Raw genomic sequence first — 21,855 nt, 5'->3', positions numbered from 1 at the left:
TGGGCAGATCACTTGAGGTCAAGAGTTCAAGACCAGCCTGTCCAAAATGGTGAAACCCTGTCTCTACTGAAAATACCAAATTTAATCAGGCATGGTGGTGCACGCCTGTAATCCCAGCCATTCAGGAGGCTGAGGCAGGAGAATCGCTTGAAGCCAGGAGGCAGAGGTTGCTGTGAGCCAGGATCGCGCCATTGCACTCCAAGCTGGGTGACAGAGTGAGACTCCATCTCAAGAAAAAAAAAAAAAAGAAAAGAAAAAAAGAAATGAGAAGAAAAGAACCAAAGATATTTGCTGCACACACACACACACACACACACACACACACACACACACATTCATGACAAAATAACGATGAAATACTCATGACAATTATAGTCTTCGTTTCTGTAACTGGTCACATGGCCATAGCAGGTATTTAAAACTACCTTCTCCGCTACCCATTCTTTATTCCGTTTGCCATCAGCAAGCACCTCAGCTAGTTGGGATCTGTACTTGGTGGGGTATTATGAACTGAATGTTTTTATCCTCTGCAAAATTCATATGTTGAAATTCTAATGACCAATGTAAGGTATGAGGTGGTGTAGACCTTGGGAGATGATTAGGTCATGAGGGCTCTGCCATCTATGAACCAGGGAGCAGGCCCTCACTAGATACTGAATCTACTGGTGCCTTGATCTTAGACTTCTAAGCCTCCAACACTGTGGGAAATAAATATTTGTTGTTAAAGTCACCCAGCCTACAATATTTTTGTTATAGTAGCCTGGATGGACTAAGACATGGGGTGACCCAAACCTTCATTCCGGAAGAATTTGGGTCACTAGTAAGTAGTCCTGCCTGAACTGGGTTGTTGTAATTTTCCATTGACCTTAATCACAGAGCATGGTGATATTAAGACGTATCCTAAGGGATCTCCTGTATTTTATTCACACTCTTCCTTACCTCCATTGTGAAGGTCCCATTTCCCTATGGAAGGCAGAATTAAGCAACATAGCCAACACAGTAACTCCCTTCTTTGGCTGTTGATTCAGGGGCATAAGAAGCCCAAAGTGGCCGGATGGCAGTCTTAACTTCTAGTTCAGTGGAATCATCGTTGTGTCTCCTGGTGGAAGCATTCCTCCCTCTGGAACTAAGACCTTTAGTCCAGCAGAGCATGGGCAGAAACAAAAAATTTTCTAGTGGATGACTAGGGGTAATAGTGAGTAGTACCACTCCCATTTCCACCCCTTGATTCCTGGACCCCAAAATACTAGTTATAGGAGAAACAGCACCATATATTGGACACTGATTCAGAGCATATATAGCCTTCTGGAAAGTCTTGCCCCAACCCTGCAAAGTATTGTCACCTAGCTGGCCTTGTAACTGAGTCTTAAAAATGCCATTTCACCGTTTTATCAAACCAGCTGTCTCAGAATGGTGGAGAACACAGTGAGACCAGTGAATTCCATGCACATGAACATTGATAATAGATTGTCTCAGAATGAAAGTGTTCAGTCTCTTACACTTAAAAACCACAGAAACAAATTATTAAATCACTTCCAACTAGATTTAAGCAATAATATTAGCATAGTGCCTAAAAGTATACATCAGGGCTGTCCAATAGACATACAATGCAAGTCAAAATTATAAGCCACATATATAATTTTAAATTTTCTAGTAGCCACATTAAAAAAGATAAAAAGAAAGAGGTGAACTGATTTTAGTAATATTTCATTTACACCAATATATCAAATCAGTATCATTTTAATACGTAATCGATGTAAGCAATCATTAGTTAGCTATTTTACATTCTTTCTATAAGTCTTCAAAATCTGGTGTCTTTTACATTTACAGTATGTGTCAATTTGCACTAACCACATTTCAAGTGCTCAATAGCCACTTAAACTCATCCATACCATTTAACCTCATCTGTGTCAGCAAACTGTTTAATTCATCTGCCTCATCTGTCAAAGGGGAATGATGATAATACTATATCTGCTGGTTGTGAAGATTAAATCAGGCACATAGAAAACACTTAATATATGTTATATATATGGGATCATTAGATAGATAGAGATCTGTAAGGGTAAAATCATGCTCAATGCATTAGATAAATGACAAGTCATTTTTCATGAGTCAGTGCTTTCTGTATGCTAATGTATACTATCGTATGAGAATCTATCTAAACAAGGTCTTTGCATGGTAGCTATTGAAAAAAGTTTCATTTGTCTTTAAATAAAAGTAGAAAGTAACTGCTTATGATTTAAGACAAGAAAGAGATTATGTTCTTGTCAAGCTTGTTCTGTGTTATTCTTTTTGCTTTCTGTACTGTTTGAAGGAGAAATAATTGAGAATCCGTAAAGACAAAGATGGAAAAACCCTGAGACGTGTTCACTCTGAAATGGTGTAACTGATTACCTTCTTTAACATCTTCTAGCAAATCAAATTCATTCCTTACTCAAGCTATTTACTCTACCTAGAATATTCTTCCTCCCTTCTTTGGCTGGCTGGCCTCTTATTATTATTCAGATTTCATATTAAATGTCAGGCCTCAGTCTTCCCTGACCATCTGTGCTAAAATAGGTCTTCTCTTTTATTCTCCTCTTCAGCAATATTATTGTTTCCTTTATGAGCTTATGTCAGAATTTATAATTATTTAACTTTTAATTTAGTTGCTTTTGTCTCCCTGTTATGAGACTTTTTGCCTCAAGAGGGCAGGGTCTAGATTTGTCTTCCTCAGTAATGAAATCTTAGCAACCATCACAGTGCCTGGCACAGAGTAGGCACCAAATATTTCTTGAGTGGATGAATGAATGATAGGCATGTTCTGTCCGCTTGTGTATTGAGGGGCTTTCAAAAAAGGTAGTTACAGAAATGATTTCTTAAACGAATATATCCACATCAAACAGGTATGAAAACGTCAGGGGTTTTATAAAATCTAGTAGCATGTCAGTTCCACATGGACAGCGACTGTGGATTTGAAACTCATTGCCTCCCAGCGTAGTGCCTGTTATATTTTAGGCACTGATATATTTTTGTTGACTGACTGAATAAATTAATTCTGATATGAAGTCACAGACTGCATAGCTATACAAGGAGGAATTTTACTCCAAGATAACATTTAGGATAAGTTAGAAAGAAACATAGTGATTACAGGTGATTTAAGACCCAGGCACTACAATAGCAATACAATATGTGTGTATTTTCTGTTATTTTTTTTTCCTAAAAGGGACCTGTTGGCTTACCTGGAGAAGTTGGGATGACTGGAAGCATTGGCGAAAAGGTAATTTTTTAAGAATTATTTTGTTTTATAGGAAGAAATCTAGGCTAAATTCAAAAGGCAGACTTTCATATGATCTTTTATGTTAATTAGAAATCACTTATAACTTTAGCACATTACCTATACTGAATATCTTAAATATATTGAAATATAGCTAACAGCATGTAGGTTTCTAATTTTTAAAGGGCAGAGTACCCTTTTGATTATAAAGATGTGATCTGAAGAGAAAAGATGGAACAGTCTAGATTTCTGACTAGAAAATATTATGTAAATCGACTTCATGAGAGCAAGCCTTCTATGAGAGGCTTGAAAGAAAGCAGTTTTTGAAAAAGAAGAATAAGTTACCATTTTACCTTTCTCTCTCCCCATCTTGTGCTTGAGCTTGTTCCTATTTCCATTCTTACTATTTTCTTGAACTAAAATATCCTCTCTCCTTCCCTCTGTTTCTTCAAAACCAAACTGTTGGACTCAGCTGAATTCCCATCTCCTCTATGAAGTCCACAGACTCCTCTCATCCTTCCTAATTTCTTCACTTCTTGGACTTAGAATAGTACCACATAGTCAAAATTTACTTACTCTCTGGTTGTTTCATCTCTGTTAATATCATGTCTGCAGTGTCTGCAGTTACTGAGGGTAGAATCTAAGTTTAGTTTTTTAAATATCTCTTCTAACTCTCATGTACTACATTCTCAATTACTTAAATACTACATACTTAATATATACTTATTGATTTTTTACTAACAATGTAACAAAATGAGTGCAGTTAAAAAATTTTGCATTATAATTTTTTTCACCCAATTAGTTATTTCTGTGCTGAGTTAAATCTTCTGTACTAAAATGTTGATACTCTTGAGAATTTTAATGTGAATCAGTTTAGTCTTTTTAAGCTGCTATGACAGATTTGATTATCATGATCTTCCAGACTTATTTCTTATGGCACTTAATTGTGGTAGGCAGACTATAAAATAAAATTTTCTTAAATGGTTACACAGATTTGTTACATTTTAATATGCTTTGATACTTTCACTATTCTCATATTTTGTATGTCTCATAAAATAGTAAGCATTTCTTACAAAACTTTAACATATGATGTGTGCTCACTTTTAAGTCTTGTTTATCCATAATTTCTATTTTCTTCATTTTAATAAGGACTTTAATATTTTTCTCCAAAAAACATCTTAAGATAATTCTATTTTATTAAAAGTCTAATAATTTTAAGATAAAGCGCCAAATTTGTAAATTTAAAAATTATTGGAAATAAAAATGATGTATGCATGTAAGACATGATTCTGGATGACAGTTTTTCTTTCTAGGCTTAGCTCAGTCATGACTAATTAATATGCCTCTATGTTACTCTTTTTTCTTTGTTCTCTTAAAAGGGAGAACGTGGAAGTCCAGGCCCACTAGGTCCGCAGGGAGAAAAAGGTGTTATGGTAAGAGCTCAGTGATTTGAAAAATATGTTTCCAAAGAATGCAATAAAAGCAAGTCGTTCCAGAGATGGAATTGCCTGGGCTGGAATTTAACTGAGTAAAAAATGTTAAATTTCCCATAGAATTTTATTTTTAAATGGTTTATCTCCCAGAATGCTATGTGATACTAAGGTACTCAAAAGCATGTAAATGAGATGGCTTAGTCAAATGATTCTAGTTTTAGGAAAGGAATTTGACCACCACAATTTGCTAAAAAAGATAAAGAAGAAAATTCAATTAGAATTCTACATACTGTGATTTCTCTTCGGATTGTATAAATCTTTCACCTTTTAAAATTAGAGTTCTACTTATTCTTCTACAGCCTATTGTTGATATGACACATATCAGCACTGCCATTCTTCCATGAGTTTGTGGTCATGATGTAGTTTTTTGACATATGAGAGCTTAGAATCCAGAATTCATCTTATTCTCTTACACTTTTAATATAGGAAATAGCTGACAAATTTTATATTTGGGTTACATCTTTTTAACTTACTAAATAGTTTTCTAAGTATGGCAGGAACTGGAGTGAATAATTATTATCAATAAAAGGATATTCCATACAGAAAATGCCTTGTAATGGATCTGGTGGCACATAATACTGTCTACAAATTGATTTTAACTAACTTCTATATTATCAGAAAAGTCCTATAAGTGTTTTGTTTTGTTTTGTTTTTTAAGCTATGCAATTTCCAGTTGCTGTCAGCTAGGAAATTTAGCATGCCTGTAAGACTAATCAACTTCAAGAATCATTACCTCCTAACGCATTTTTTGAATCAGTGTTAATACCATAAAGTGTGTGGTCCTTCTAAAGTTTGAAATGCTAGAATATTTGTACACATTTACATTGCTTAATTAGAGAGCTCCTGGACCTCTCCGAAAAGGATATAGTTTCATAACCTATATAACACAACATATATCCATGGATAAGATAACATGATCTTCAGAAAAATGAAATGAATGTTCTCTTATAAATAGGCTGTAGTATGTGATTCTAGCTAGCAATTTTCTTCTCTAGGCAAAAACCTTCTAATAAATGGATATATAGTTTCTATGTAAATAAAACTACAGAAAATTTTTTTTTATTTCTATGGTCTATCTGCAGAATATTTCCTGTGGCCTTTCATATCTTGGTTACAAAAGAAACATTGTGTCAAATTATCCCTTTTTATTATTGTTTATAATTTACTGGCTTGTCTTCAATGAAAATAATTTAAAGTCATGAATATTTTACTTCTTTTATATTTTCCTTAAATTATAGGGATATCCAGGTCCTCCTGGGGTTCCAGGACCTATCGGTCCATTGGGATTACCTGTAAGTACAGGAAAGACTTTATGATTCCTTCCGGAATGTTTACTTTAATTTAAACTCATAAATTGTTATGCTTTATTGTTGGTTTTTATTCAAAGTAAGTCATGTGTAAACTAGTGGAGACTGCTTCTCTCCCAACTATACAAAACACTCTTGAATTTGTCATGATATCTTGAACTGCCTCACCTCTACTTGGTATACAATCAATTTCAGTTCTGCAACCTAAACTAAAATGCTTTGAAGTTTCTTTTGAATAACCACATATAAGGAAACAGGATTATTAAGATTAGAAGTGAGACCAATTGGATAAATAAATTACAAGTGTAAGCTTCAACATATTTTTCTCAGAAATTTGTAAATATTATCACAACCAGATAAAATTCATAAAAATATGTATTTATTAAACAAAAATTGTAGTATTGAAAATATTCCATTTGTTTACAAAAAGATGATGAAGTGTTTCCCCTAAATTAATTTTGCTTATCAGAATCTGACAGCTATTATGAACTTAAAATATGAACAAGATCGGCCTTTAGGATCCCCTGAGCAGAACTTTTCTTATCAGTGAAGACTTTTATTATTTGTGAAGCTTCTGTTTTAAAAATAAGCCCAATTTTCTAGTATATTTGCAAATATGTTGTTGGCTTTTAAAATTAGGAAGAGTAGTCTCAAGAACAGTTACTAATATCTTTAGTCACATAAAATAATAAATAAATTTGAAATACTAAAGTTTACTTCATTTTTATCTACCTTGGGTTAATAGATAAATAAATTTTGTTTTCCAGTTGAGTCTTAATTAAAGACTATAGCTATAAAAATAATTCATTATAATTGACTTAATAATAAATAGCAACTTAATCTCCATTGCAGGCTATTTTTATAGCATAGTAATTTGGAACATTTTGTGGCATTTTTATAACAAAAAAACTATTTTTATGTGATGGGATTGGCATAAATATCTAGAATAATAGTAAAGAAATATTACCATGATAGCCATTGCTTTTTTGATGGGCCAGGCAGATTAGACCGGTCTGTCTAGCTCAATGGATATCTCCTTCCTCCATCACTCCATATGTGTTCCTTCTGAAAACGACTTGGTCAGTGAATATTAAAAGCTTCTCCATTTTTTATTCAGGGTGTAAACACCCAGACATTAAATTTGTCCAAATAGTAGAATATTTCAAAAGCAGAATATTGGTAGAGGGCAGTGTGATTAAAGCATATTTTTAAGGAAGACTAATCAATTGTAAAAATGTCCTGGGAGAAGGATATATGTTATAAGAAAGATTATGGCTATTATTCTGATAGTATTCTTGTAAATTCTACAACTGACTTTAAATTTACAACATATAGGGTCATGTGGGGGCAAGAGGACCACCTGGGAGTCAAGGTCCTAAAGGACAAAGAGTAAGTAATCTAAGGAAAAAAGTACATTAACCCCCCCAAAATTACTTCATAAATAGTGGAAAATGTGCAACAAAAATAGCATCATACCTTCTAGAATTCTGCTTAGATCTTGTCAGGTTTTTTCTATTTTCATTATATTAGATGAATGCCCTATGTTAATTGAAATACAACTCATAATCTTTTGTAGTTATAAAATCACATTTTTCCATTTTAATTTTTACATGTATCACTAACTCATATAGAATTCTTGTTTCTTATTCCCAGCCTCCAATTCCATTCTTTGAGAGAATGGTAAATGTGAAGATCTTTAAATGAATTATTTCTCTACAGACTTACATAGCAAGGAAAAATAACATCATGACAAAATAAAAGCAATAAGAAGTGGAACAAAGATACACAAGATGAATAAGAGCTTATTAATTGTAAATCAAAGTTATTATAATCATCATTGTCTAATAATCATGTATACAGAATTAAATAATAAATCTTCATCTCTTTAAGTTGTATCTTAAACATTAAATCCTTTTTAAAGAAATAAGAGCCACTATTTATTGCATGCCTGTCACATGCCAGGCACTCTTTCATATATTATCTCAATACTCAAAACCACTAGAGAGAGAAAAATATTATATCTTAGCTATTATAGTTGAGGGAACCAGGGCTCTCAAAGTTTAAGTATACGGCCTCTATAGACACACAGAAATGGCACAAGCAGTATTCAAACCTTAGTGTGTCTGACTCCAAAGCCCATGCTATTCAATACCATATGGAATATCAGGGAGTATTTTTTAAATTAATTTGGATATGTGGGCTTTAAGGATTCTGTGTTATGCCTTGACCTTACTTTGATTTAAGTTTTAGAGCTTATGAAGAAAATATTTTAAAATTCTAAAAATATCCTCTACCTAACCATGGTAAAAAAAAAAAAAGACCTTGCAGTTTTCCAGTTGGCAAATGGGAGAAAATTGTTAATGAATTCCCAGTTTGAAGTAATGACTTCAAAGTCATATCCTGTGTTTTCGGTGAAGCTTGAAGAAAGAGAGCAGATTTGCCTTTATTAATGTTTCCTTTCTGAAAAACTATTTTCCTTCCTGGGTTACAGATTTATACTCTATGGTCACATCTCTAATATATTAGCCCAAATGAGATTTAAAATAAAATAAAAAATGATGATAGATGATTTGTACCCAAACTGCCATTTAGTGGTTAGTACCCTGCCAGCATTCAATATTTAGTTAGGTCAAATGTGTTTATTCAACTTTGTATAAGTCATAATGGGAAAGTTCAACCAATTTGTGACAGATGAAAAAAAGAAGAAATACTTACTTGTTCCTTTTGTTAATTAAGTAATTTGAGTCCTTAAGCACAAGCTGTGTATCTAAGCACAGTCTTTTCCTAAACCACTTTGTGCTGTCTCATTAAGTCATATGGAAAGTTCGTTTGTTCTGCAGTTTTCTAACTTCACCATGATCCTATTACTGTTTCCTGATTTGTCACTTTGTCATCAATTCCTACCTCCCCAAGGATCTATTTTCCTCACATCCTTCAAATACATTTTACTGATTCTCTCCCGAAATGGCTCCTCATCATTTTTAAAATTTTTACCCAGTATCCAGACAAGGAAGATTTGTTTAGAAACAAGGGCTTTAAAAGAGGGAGAGAGAGAGAGAGAGCCTTCTTTACTGAACTACTATTTTAGGTAAACAATGGACATTGGGCATACAGAAAACATACCGAAGACCAGAATATTTGAGAAAGAAAATAGCATTGGGAAGTTCCCTTCTGGTAGCCACTGATATATTCCTATTTTTACTCTCTTCTCTCTTCAATCCATTCCCCACTAGGGCTGTAATCCCAATACTCTAGACCCATTCTTCCCAATGTTTTTCACTCACAAAAAATGAGAATATTGGTCCAGCCTACTGAGATAAATGAAAAGGGGACCTAGCTGCAGATTCCTGTGTCTGGCTTTTCCTTGCCACCCCAAAGGCTGAGGAGGGCACTATTTTCAGCATACCTGTAATCTCTTTGTGGAAAATACGTGTCATAGCATGTTGGAGGGAAGCTCTGCCCTAAGTACATTTGCACAGAGACCACACAGAGAATTTTCATTATGGAACTGGTAGTTATACTCTCTTGCTGTTCTGACTGTGATTGATGCTGTTAACATATGGCCATATGACCATCATGAAGGGTAGGACTACTCCAAAGAGTCTGCTTACTATCTGCTTCTCTCCTGCCCATCCATCCACCTTACAGCTATCTAACATTTACTGATTCCCTGCAACCTGTCAAACACTATTAATACCATGGAGGATTCTAGACTTAATTATCTCTTACATCTAAACTGCATAGATTTTACAGTCTGATGGCTTTTGAAGTACCATGCAGTATTGAAATTTTTCCAAAGGACAGGAAAACCCCAAACAAATAATAATGTCCTACCATCTCAAGAAATAAGTAACCTTGCCTTTTATATAGCTGAAAAAGATAACAGGATTGACTAAAAATATCATTCTTACAGAGATTCTTAGATAAGAAACATGGCATAAACTTTAAAGTATTATTATTTATCCTACATACTCTAAGCTTTGTTTCTACCTGCATGTTTAGCTGAAGAATAATTAAATAAAATGAAATAGTTTAACATACCAAAGCTAATTAGTATAATATACAAAATCATGTCCCTTGTGTAGACAATATAAGCTAGCAGATTCTCTAATTCAGTACCAGAAAGATAGTGGTTTAGCCTCTTGGGTCACTAGAAATCAGCACAACATCAGCTGCACATGGAACTCTTCAGAACTAGGCAACTGATCCCTTGGTATTACTCCATTATACGCCTCTGTGTCCAGCTACCCAAACAGGAGAGATGACACAGAGCGAAGTTAACCTCATCTTTTTTCTTGATTATGAATTGGCAAGGATCATGAGACATGTTTAAGTTTGCACTCTTTCTCTAGAGGGGCAGTATAGAGGCATACAACTGAGCATTTTTATTCAGACTATGCTGCTTAAGATTTAAATGGGAGGGAAAGATTAAAATAACTCTATTAAAAATATGTAATGTTTTAAGGTTTTCTATGGAGGAAGTAAAATTGATCTGCCTATAGAAATTCTGAAATTTGTCCCTTTCAAGGAAATGCTTACCATATAGGGGGAAGCAGTCCTCAATTTTCGCATTTAGATTCAAAGCTAGATTCAATACCTGAAGCACTCCAAATGATAAGGCAGAGCTCCTCTGTGGTTTCTTCTCCTGAAATAGTTTATAACAAGAATAGAATCAAAATATTTTTTTCCTTAAAATCACTGATAATGTTAGTTTTTGTTTAATAGAACGTTTTGTTTCAGCTGTGTAAATCAAGAGCCAGAAAAGACTGCTAGGCCTAATTAGTTAGGCACATGAGTAATGTTAACATCATACGAAGTAGTGGTTCTGTAAATTGATCATTTATGAATTTAGTTATTGCCCATAATTCAAGCAGTATTTATTTTATAAAACATGCTTAGTTTATGTAGCTAAGCTATCAAATTTTTATTTCTGCTATGAGAACTTACTAATACAGCTCAGTGCAGCCAACTTTAATTTTCCTAAGAATGTAAATATTAGATTTTCTCTTTAGCCAGCATAGTTACTCTAAGAGAATATCCATGAGATATTTTTAAACGGTTATTTTAATATATAACTATGCCAAATTTAGGTGCCTATTATAATGCTATTTGACTTTCTTACAGCCTGTCGTAAAGCTTATTTTGTCTTAGAAGTCAAAGCAGACATATACAGTAACCCATGGGATAACTTCTATAACCAATATCAGCGTGAAATTTAAAGATGTTGATAAAGCTAAGCTTTCAGTTAATTAGCTTACTCTTGCTTTAAACAGAGAGAGTACCAAGCTTTCCTAGAGTTCTTCTGCCAGCCTTAAACTCTTAACTAGCAACTTTAGGCTTTATTACCTTTAATTAATATAACTGCATTACTTACACCTTCAGGTTGTTTTTTAAACTAAATGTGGTTATCATCACTGTGGGCACAGAACTTCTCTTTCTTCATTCCCTGTGTTGTCTTGACTTATAAAATGAAATAATAAAGTAAAAGTATTTTTCTAAGTAATGGGTTTTTTTAAGGAAGCATTCTTTTTTATTGATACGTATTTGTACGTATTTATGGGGTGGGTGTGATATTTTGTTACATGCATAGAATGAATAGTAAGCAAGTCAGGGTATTTAGGGTATTTCATTCATTACCTTTAGCATTTATCATTTCTATGTGCTGGGAACATTTCAAGTCCACTCTTCTGGTTATTTTGAAATATACAATAAATTATTGCTAACTATAGTCACCCTACTCTGTTATTGAACAAAAGAACTTATTTCTATTTCATTGCATGTTTGTACCCACTAACCTCCCTTTATCTCCCTCTCCCATCCATACACCCTTCCCAGCCTTTGGTATTTATCGTCCTACTCTCTACCTCCATGAAATGAACTTTTTTAGCTCCCACATATGAGTGTGTAGGGCAGCCAGAGATCACCTCCAGCCCCCATTTTAGCCCTCAGTGGGCTCTTCAGCAGGATCTGGAAACCAGATTGACACCAGGCAGATTAACAAGAGACAAGTTACAAATTATATTAGTTTTGTGTGTATATGGGGATCTTTACAAGAGAGTGAAGTCTGAAGTGCCCCAAACAAGATGCTTTTATACTTCTTAGACAAAGAGTGATACATTTGAGAAAAAGTGACAGGACAAAGAAAATCTAGCTAAAGTGGTAAACATTTCTAGGGAAGTCACTAAGAGATATATTGGCGAGGGGGTGTAAAACAGGTGGAAGATATGAGTTACTTCATTAAAGTGTGTTTATTCAGGTCCATTGCAGCCTTCAATTGTAAGACTCTGGTGATAAGGGCTATTTTCTCATACTGGTATGGAGAAGGTAGCCCTCCCAGAGGGATCTTTATTGCTTGCTGCATGCAGAAGGAGACAGATCAGCTCACCCTTTTGGAAACTACAATTTCTCCAGTGTTTTCATGACATATTTTGGGATGGTATGTCCTTCATTCCTTCAAGTGAGAACATGTGGCATTTGTCTTTCTGTGCCTGGGTTATTTCACTTAATATAATGACCTCCAGTTCCATCCATGTTCCTACAAATTATTCCATTGTGTACATATACCACACTTTATTTATCCATTTGTCCATTGAAGGACACTTAGTTGATTCCATATCTTTGCTATTGTGAATAGTGCTGCAATAAACATAGGTGCAAAAGTCCCTTCGATATGTGATTTATTTTCCTTTGGATAAATACCCAGTAGTGGGATTCCTGGATTGTATGGTAGTTCTTTTTTTTTTTTTTTTTTTTTTTTTGAGACGGAGTCTCATCCTGTTGTCTCACCCTGTTGCCCAGGCTGGAATGCAGTGGCATGATCTCGGCTCACTGCAACCTGTGCCTCCCAGGTTCAAGCAATTCTCCTGTCTCAGACTCCTGAGTAGCTGGGATTACAGGCTACTCAGCCACCATGCCCAGCTAATTTTATATTTTTAGTAGAGATGGGGTTTCACCATGTTGGCCAGGCTGGTCTCAAACTCCTGACCTCAGGTGATCCCACCCGCCTTGGCCTCCCAAAGTGCTGGGATTACAGGCATGAGCCACCACACCCAGGCTCCATTTTTAGTTTTATGAGAAATCTCCATACTCTTTTCCATAGTGGCTATGGAATTAGTAATAATTCACATTCTCACCAACAGCATATAAGAGTTCCCTTTGCTGTGCATCCTGGCCAATAGCTATTGATTTTTGTTTTTTTAATAATAGTCATTCTTCCTGTGATATGATGATATCTTATTGTGGTTTTGATTTCCATTTTCCTGATAATTAGTGATGTTGAGCATTTTTTCATGTGTCTGTTGGCCATTTGTCTGTCTTTTAAGAAATGTCTGCTCAGGTTCTTTCCCCAATTTTTAATAGAATTATTTTTTAACTACTGAGTTGTTTGAGTTCCTTGTGTATTCTGGATATATAGTTCCTTGTCAGATGAATAGTTTGCAAATATGTTCTCTCATTCAACAGGTTGTCTCTTCACACTGTTGATTGTTTCTTATGTTGTATGGAAGCTTTTTTGTTTACCATAGTCCCATTTGTCTATTTTTGGTTTTGTTTCCTGTGCTTTTGAGGTTTTAACCCAAAAATTATTGCCCAGACCAATGTCATGGAGCTTTTCCCCTTTTTCTTCTGGAAGTTTTATAGTTCCAAGTCTTCATATTTAAGTCTTTAATACATTTTGGGTTGATTTTTGTATATGGTGCTAAATAAGGGTTTAATTCTTCTGCATCTGGATATACAGTTTTCCTAACATCATTTATTGAAGAGGCCATCCATTCCCCATTGTGTGCTCTTGGCACCTTTGTCAAAAATCAGCTGGCTATAAACGTGTAGATTTATTTCTGGGCTCTCTTTTCTGTTCTATTTGTCTATGTGTCTGTTTTTATACTAGTACCATGCTGTTTTGGTAACTATAGTTTTGTAGTATATTTTATTTTATTTTATCTTTTAAAGATGGGGTGTAACTCTGTCACCCAGGCTGGAGTGCAGTGACGCGATCATATCACATTGCTGCCTCAAATTCCTGGGCTCACATGATCCCACTGCCTCAACCTCCCAAGTAGCTGGTTCTACAGGCATATTCCACCATGCCTGGCTAATTTTTAAATTTTTTGTAGAGACAGGGTCTTGCCATCTTACCCAGGCTGATCTTGAACTCCTGGGCTCAAGTGATCCTCCCTCCTCAGCTTCCCAAAATGTTGGATTACAGGTATGAGCCACCATACTCAGCCCAGTAGTGTACTTTAAAGTCATGTAGTGTGGTGCTTCCAGCTTTATTCTTTCTGCTTAGGATTACTTTGGCTATTTAGCCTCTTTTTTGTGTTACATATGAATCTTAGGATTTTTTTTCTATCTCTGTGAAAAATGACATTGGTATTTTGATAGGGATTGCACTGAATCTCTAGATTGCTTTGAGTAGTAAAAGTATTTTTTAAATGTAAAACATAAAATGAGTGGTTATTATTACTATATGTATTCCTTAATTTTAGAGGGAGTTCCTTGATTTGCAATACCAATCAGCACTTTACTTGTGAATGTTTAATATTCATTTTGTAAACTTCTAAATTTCAGGTCCTCTCTTCCAGTCTGAATTCACTTGCTGACGGGATTAACCTCATTTCTTTTTAACATTTGAAAAAATATTATAAACTTAATAAAGCACAGTCGTTCAGTCTTTGTACAGTTAGACATCGTGGGAGTCAGGCTACTCACCTAACATCTACAGACTTCAGTTTCTTCATCTTAAAAAGTGGGATTTGGACTAGTTCAGCTATGGCAGTAGGTGATTTCTGTGCCCAAACAAGAAACTGGCAATTAATTATGAGACTTACTCCAGCTAGATGCAGCCTTTTCTACGTGTATCTAGGCAGCCACTTAATCTGATTTTATCCAAGAAATGAAATGTATTTTCTATCTTTGGACCAAACAATCTTTTTAAATAAAATTCTAAATATACAACTATGTGTCCAGGGGCCTTTTGAAGCTTAATGCTTATGGCTGCCACCACGTAAACTTAGAATGACTTCTAACTTTCTAACTCTCTATCACTAGCCTTGGAGATATCTACTTCATTGGGCTTGATCATCTAGAGTCAAACTCCTTATCTTCCACTACTCCTCCCTCTCCACCCTAAGCAAACCTACATTTCTAATTTGTTTTCTATTGATGCTGTTATCTTCTACCAATTACTCAGTAATAAAATATCAAAGAAATACATAGTAATTCTAGGTTGTAAAGGAGTTTTAAGGGCCCAATTAATTACCAGTGGACACATTTTCAATTTAGACCTTACTTGTTTTTTATAGTATTTTAGAATGTTGACCACTCATTCCTTTTCACAGTCTTTTGGCCTTCTTCTTTTGTTACTCAAAAAAAAATTAGCTGTGTTTCTTTTGGAGCAAAAAGAGAAGAATTAGGCATTGAAGGTGCTAGAGAAAAAGAATCAATAGAGACGGCTAAAATTTCAAGATCATCTTGAGGGTTGAGGGTGATTATTAGAGCAAATTCCTGAGGGACCTTCATGCTTAAAACTTGAGTCATCCTTTGAACACTGTTCTTTTTTCATCTTCGGCTACTCAATTATTGAATATTCTAAGCATGACCCCTCATCAGAACTTTGCACTTGCTGTTTTTTCTGCTACAGTGATCTTCCCCAAATTATTTGTATAGCTTGCAATCTTACCTCTTTTAGGTGTCTACCCACATGTCACTTTAGAGAGACTTTTCAGGCCACCCTATCTGAAATAGTCCTCCCCACCTTGGATACTCTCTAGTTCTTTGTTTTTCTTCATTATACTTAACTACATATTTTCATTTTATAATTTAGTTTTACGTACTTATTTGCTTGTTTATGAATTCAGGGATTTGTCTCTTCTCTCTACCATGTCCTCTGGACCTAAAACAATGCTGGCTTATAGTAGGCACTCGGTATACATCTGCTGAATGAATAACACATGTTAAAAAATACTGATCTATGAAATTAAGTCCATGCTCCTCAACTTGATCTTCAAGGTCTTGCACAGTAAGACTGTAGTTCAGTTTTTCAGTCCTTCATTGGAAAATAGAGCAGAAAGAAAGTTGGGAATAGATTATGGAGTACCTTGAATATAGACTTAGAAATTGTAGGGCCGGAGCTATGGCTTTATCAGGATCAGTGGAGCTACAGATCCTCCATGAAGTGTGTGTTCTGTCCAAATCCCTGAATGTGCCTCAGAGGATCAAGGAATGCAGTTACCCTAAGAGTTCCCAAGAAGAGAGTCCTATTATAGTAAATAGCTTTTAATAATATAAAGCTAAACCAAAGCTTATCTCAGATGGGATACAAGAGAAGATTCTGAAGCCTAAAGGACTCCTTCAAATCTGTATGTTGTCCTGGGAGATTTGTATCACCGTTCTGTATAGAAATCTTTAGCATCAGTTTTCTGCCAAATTATTTGTAAGTGAACTTCAGACCTTCACCTTATAAGTCCCAGTCTTCTTTTCCACACTTACATCTTAATATTTCTCAACATGTAATCAATAGCCTAACCAAACAAACTACTTTTTTATTCTTTGAGTATCTGTTTTCATGCCTCTATATTTTTTTCACATACTATCCCTCATTGTAGAGTTTCTTCTATTTTGAATAAGTCTATGAGAACTTGACCTCCAGCTGCTAAAAATATCTTTATTTCCCATTACAAATGTGAAGTTTGTCTCCCTCTTTGAATTCTTGTTTTGGTCCTTGGCATGTCTTATCTCTCTGTATATTATTGTCTTTTGTATATTTGTATAGTAGAGAAACTTTCTCTCAATTATAAATCACTGTAACACTTAACATAATTCCTTTTCCACAGGTATTCAGTTAGAGTCTGTAGAATTGAATCAAGTCCCTGAACAAGGACTTTAAGATCTTCCAAAGAAAGTTATAATTTAATGGAAGACTATTCTGTCATTTTCTTATAGAATGACTTTTGCAACGGCTTTTTTGCAACTAATTATTGAATGAACACTGAGAAGTTTTAAATTTACACGAATATTTTCAGTAGTATTTTCTCTACCTTTTCTGTGCCCCTGCCATCTCCCAGTAATTCCTGACAAGCAGTTGCATAGCAGGTACAATGCAGTCAGCACTCATTTTCTTTCTTTCTTTTTTTTTTTATTCCAGCTAAACTTTATTTCTTTTTTTTTCTTCAATTTTTATTTTAAGTTCAGGGGTACGTGTACAGGAGGTGCAGGTTTGTTACATAGGTAAACATGTGACATGGTGGTTTGCTGCACAGATCATCCCATCACTTAGTTATAAAGCCCAGCATCCATTAGCTATTCTTCCTGATACACTCCCTCCCCCGAGGCCCCCTGACAGGCCCCAGTGTGTGTTGTTCCTCACCATGTGTCCATGTGTTATCATCATTCAGCTCCCACTTATAAGTGAGAAAATGCGGTGTTTGGTTTTCTGTTCCTGCATTGCTATCATTTTCTAATAATGTGAAGAGAAGAGCACCATTTAAAAATATTAAACTTAAGGAGACTGCTTAGAGAAACAAATCCAGCCACTTTTAATTTAGAGTTGATTAAGAACAAATTCTGGCTGGCTGCTGAGTAAATTATAAAGTGAACGAAATACCCAAATAACACACCTATATTATAACCACCTCAACTACTGTGTTAGCTATTTTTGTGCTCATTTGACTTACTATTTGTCATTAAATCTTAAAAACATGGGCTGATTCTCCCATGCAGATAGGTTGAGCCATATACCCAGCTGTATTATTTTCTGTTGTCAGGGCATAAAATCAACATCTTGGCCGTGCGCGGTGGGTGGTGGCTCACGCCTGTAATCCCAGCACTGTGGGAGGCCGAGGCGGGTGGATCACGAGGTCAGGAGATCAAGACCATCCTGGCTAACACAGTGAAACCCCGTCTGTACTAAAAATACAAAAAAATTAGCCAGGCGTGGTGGCGAGCGCCTGTAGTCCCAGCTACTCAGGGGGAGGCTGAGGCAGGAGAATGGCGTGAACCTGGGAGGCGGAGCTTGCAGTGAGCCGAGACGCGCCACTGCACTCCAGCCTGGGCGACAGAGTGAGACTCCGTCTCAAAAAAAAAAAATCATCAACATGTTCATCTGTGAGGACACATAACTGTTAAGAAAAAAAAAGGAACATTTCAAATTAACAACAGGATATTTTTTTCACCTCTAGGGATCAAGAGGACCAGATGGTCTCTTAGGGGAACAAGGTATACAAGGTGCCAAGGTAATCATTGATTTTTCTCATTTCATATGTAGTTAAATTTTATTGAGATCATATGTCCTACTAGTCTAAAAAACAATATATTTCCCTACAAAAGTATGGTTCTAAGTTTTCTCTTTGTCTAAGTATGAAACGCATAAAGTTTTTACTACACAGGCAGAGATGTTTTCTTTTCAATAATGAACTATATACTTACTGTCTTTTTTGTATGTGAGTGTATGCTAGCATATGCTAGCATAGTAAGACCATAATTCACATTCTTACTAACTCACCTGGCTTTGATACTTTGTTAGGGTGAAAAAGGAGATCAAGGAAAAAGAGGGCCTCATGGTCTTATTGTAAGTAATAAAACATTTCACATTAAAGATGAACATTTTAAGTCTTTTTTGTTTTTCTTAGTATGATTAATCTTTTTGGAGGGGACTACTTGACTCAAGAATTTTCTTTCTCATGTAGGGTAAGACTGGAAACCCTGGAGAAAGAGGATTTCAAGGGAAACCAGTAAGTAATTTAAAAAATCATGCTATGAAAAATTTTTATCTGCATTTTTGGGGGAAAGGGGCTGCTCAAACAATGTTTGGGGGATTTTTTGACACATAAAAATTATATATATTTGCAGTATACAATGTGATATTTTGATATATGTATAAATTATGAGCTGATTACCTTTATCTGCTTTATTCTCTAATACAACTATTGTTTAGTATTCAATATGTTGGACTAAAAGAATATAAGTTCTTTTTCTCCTTTAATCATTGGGTCATTGTTTTATTTGAGCAAGTTGCTTACCCATTCTGGGCCTGGGTTGTACCTATCCATAACTGGTGGTTATAACTGTTACTTTTACTTCACTCTAGTTATGATAAATTACTTTTACTGTAAAACCCATTTCAAAATAAAATGGTGTGACATATAAATATAATGAGACATTAATAAAGCTAACATAATAACTAACTTTTTTCAGGCCTCTTGCCTAGTTTTCTTTTAACTCAACTTGAATTCCTTTTAGGCCTTTGGAGTATAGAGCTGTGTGTGTCTTCATGCCTTCCCATGGCACTGCTTAAGAGTTGTTAATATTTTATAATACTAGTTATTTTCCTACCATCAAAAATCTTACCAGAATTATACATTTTTTTCCCTGAGAGGCAACAAGTTCTATGGTTATCATCACTAAGTAAGAGGAAAAAAATGTTAAAGATTTACCCACACATGCATACTTACACATAGACATGTAAGATAGTACATGTATGTGAGCACATAAGCTTAAGTATATGGATATTTTTACTTTCATTCAGAATTTTAATTTTTAATGATGACATTTTGATTTGTTATATACACATATATGTATAATATAAAGTTATAAAAATAGATAATATAAATAGATTGCAGCTCGGGAGACAGAAAAGGATAGAATAAAAATGTTTTAGCCGCTACAGTATTAATAATTGTCTATGTAGTAAATGTCACTGCATTTGCTTGTTCCTTTTTGAAATCTGCTGCCCCCTGCCCGCTGTTTCCCACAATAACATTGTATTTAACAGTGATCCAACCTAAAATACCAGAGACCTAAGACAGAAAACAAATGACTATGTCTAGGAAAGAACTTGTGTGTGGCATTGTATTATTGATTAACGTTATCCTCAAAGAATATTACTTGAGTTTTAATATTCATCACCTGAGTTTCTATTATATTGATATAAATGGTGTTTGTATAGATTATGACTACTTTGATATACTTTATACAGTGCTGATACATTGCAGTGAGTGGAAAAGTTTGGAGGTCAAGTTCATCCCTCTCATTTAAAAAAAAAATGAGACCCAGAGAAATAAAATTACTTATTCATTTTGTATTCATTGATGAGCTGAAAATAAAGGTAAAAATATAGGTCATTCATTGTTGACCTTCCCTAGAATTTTACCTTCATTTTCAGCCCATCAATGTATGCCTGTATAAACATGATATTTCATGTTTGACTTTCTCAATTAAATAAAAGATACTAGAATCATTCTGTAACCTTACCCTGGTTTGTAACCTTACCTGGCAAACATGTCTCATAGACTCCTGGAAGAATTAAATTACCTTAGTGTATGACATGGTTGGACATTAAATATGAATTTATAATAGTTGTTGAGGTTTACTTAGCTCTATACCTACATTGTCTCCTTCTCCTTGATTGGATTGACATGATGGGATTGGATTGACATCTTGGAGAAGCTGGGAAAAGTCAACTGAAAAAAGCCAGACAAGCCCCAAAGGTTCACTTGATCCTTCAGCACAGTCTTAGCGTTTTTAGTCATTTATGCACTATCAACAAACAGGCAGTGCTGTATATTAGAAAGATAAATTCGAGGTCAGATTGTCCTTTGGTCTAGTGTATGCTCCTAAAAACCATATAACTTTGTTTAAATTGGTTAGGCCTGGGCATGGTGGCTCATGCCTGTAATCCCAGCACTTTGGGAGGCAGAGGCAGAAGGATCTCTTGAGCCTGGGAGTTCAAGACCAGCTAGGGCAATGTAGTGAGACCCCCATCTCTAAAAATACATATTTTTTATTTTTAAAATGAATTTTAAAAAATGGTTGGGATAAGAGCTCTAAGACCCTCTCCATCTCTAAATTTTCATAATTTTAAGCCAGGAATTAAATGAAAACTGGCAACATATAGTGCTCTGGTAATCCAGATAACTAGTAAAAGTATATTTGTCCGTGGACCAACACTGTTTCCTATACAATACTTGCCTCCCATACATCTGACTCAAAAGAAAATCAGGAAGAAAGACCACAATCCATTGTGTTATTAAGGTGTTAAGGCCTGGATCACTATTTTAGGTTCTCTAAATAATATAAAAACTATCATAACTCATACGTTACTGAGGTTTTTTTTATCTAGATAGTCTATCAGTTTGTGAGATGGGTGTAAAAATTCTTCAACTATAATTTTTGTGTTTCTCTATTTCTCCCTTTAATTCTTTCTAATTTTTCTTTATGTATTTTTAAATTCTATTGTAAGTTTATTCACATTTATAATTATTATGTCTTCCTGATCAATTGATCCTTTTTTTGTTAAAAAATATTCTTGTTTATCTCTGGTAATACTTTTTACTCCTGGTAATACTATTTGTTGTGAAGTATATGTTATCTGATATTAATACTCACATAAAGTTTCTCCAGCTTTCTTATGCTTGCTGCTTACATGGCATATCTTGTTCCTTAATTTACTTTCAACCTATCTGTGTCTTGATATTTAAAGTGAATATCTTATAGTTGGACCTTGTGTTTTATTCATTCTGACAATTTCTGCCTTTTAATTTGAGCATTTGTTCAATTTCAATTTAATGTAATTATTGATACGTAATTGATGTGGTTAGATTTGGGTCTCCCATTTAATGATCTGTTTTTCTTTGTGTCCTTTTTATTGTTATTGTTCAATGTCTTCTGTTGGCATTGAATAATTTTGAGAATTCTATTTTAATCTGTCTGTTGGATTTTTAGCTCTATTTCTTCTCATAATTTTCCATGGTTATTCTAGGTCAAGGGACAGCAAACTTTTATTGTGAAGTGCCACAAAATAAGTATT

At 34.7% G+C, this 21,855-nt stretch overlaps 1 protein-coding gene across 20 annotated transcripts in view, besides 1 other annotated feature; it reads left to right on the top strand.

Moving 5' to 3' along the window:
- The window catches only part of COL24A1 (collagen type XXIV alpha 1 chain), a 427,752-nt gene that overhangs the window by 242,346 nt on the left and 163,551 nt on the right, over positions 1-21,855 (top strand). For 16 of the 20 annotated variants that reach the window (NR_146340.2, NR_146341.2, NR_146342.2 and 13 more), the window contains 7 exons: positions 3,206-3,259; positions 4,636-4,689; positions 5,988-6,041; positions 7,392-7,445; positions 18,230-18,283; positions 18,574-18,618; positions 18,737-18,781. Coding sequence is in view for 14 of the 20 variants with exons in the window: in XM_047417004.1 (XP_047272960.1) it covers positions 3,206-3,259; positions 4,636-4,689; positions 5,988-6,041; positions 7,392-7,445; positions 18,230-18,283; positions 18,574-18,618; positions 18,737-18,781 (360 nt within the window). In the remaining 6 variants the exon portion in view is untranslated. The remainder of the gene's footprint in view (positions 1-3,205; positions 3,260-4,635; positions 4,690-5,987; positions 6,042-7,391; positions 7,446-18,229; positions 18,284-18,573; positions 18,619-18,736; positions 18,782-21,855) is intronic. The other 4 variants (NR_146344.1, NR_146343.1, XM_047417015.1 and 1 more) reach the window with 1 other exon arrangement.
- Positions 17,482-17,981: an enhancer, noted in NCBI's record as "H3K4me1 hESC enhancer chr1:86362341-86362840 (GRCh37/hg19 assembly coordinates)". NCBI's record gives its function as "activates a minimal SCP1, AML or CMV promoter by ChIP-STARR-seq in naive H9 embryonic stem cells {active_cell/tissue: H9 hESC(naive)}" and the evidence as "EXISTENCE:reporter gene assay evidence [ECO:0000049][PMID:30033119]".

This window comes from Homo sapiens, chromosome 1 (genome assembly GCF_000001405.40).
Source record: "Homo sapiens chromosome 1, GRCh38.p14 Primary Assembly".
NCBI classification, from domain to species: Eukaryota; Metazoa; Chordata; class Mammalia; order Primates; family Hominidae; genus Homo; species Homo sapiens.
The sequence above is the reverse complement of the archived record's forward strand: the minus strand, read 5'-3'. Positions and strand labels throughout refer to the sequence as shown.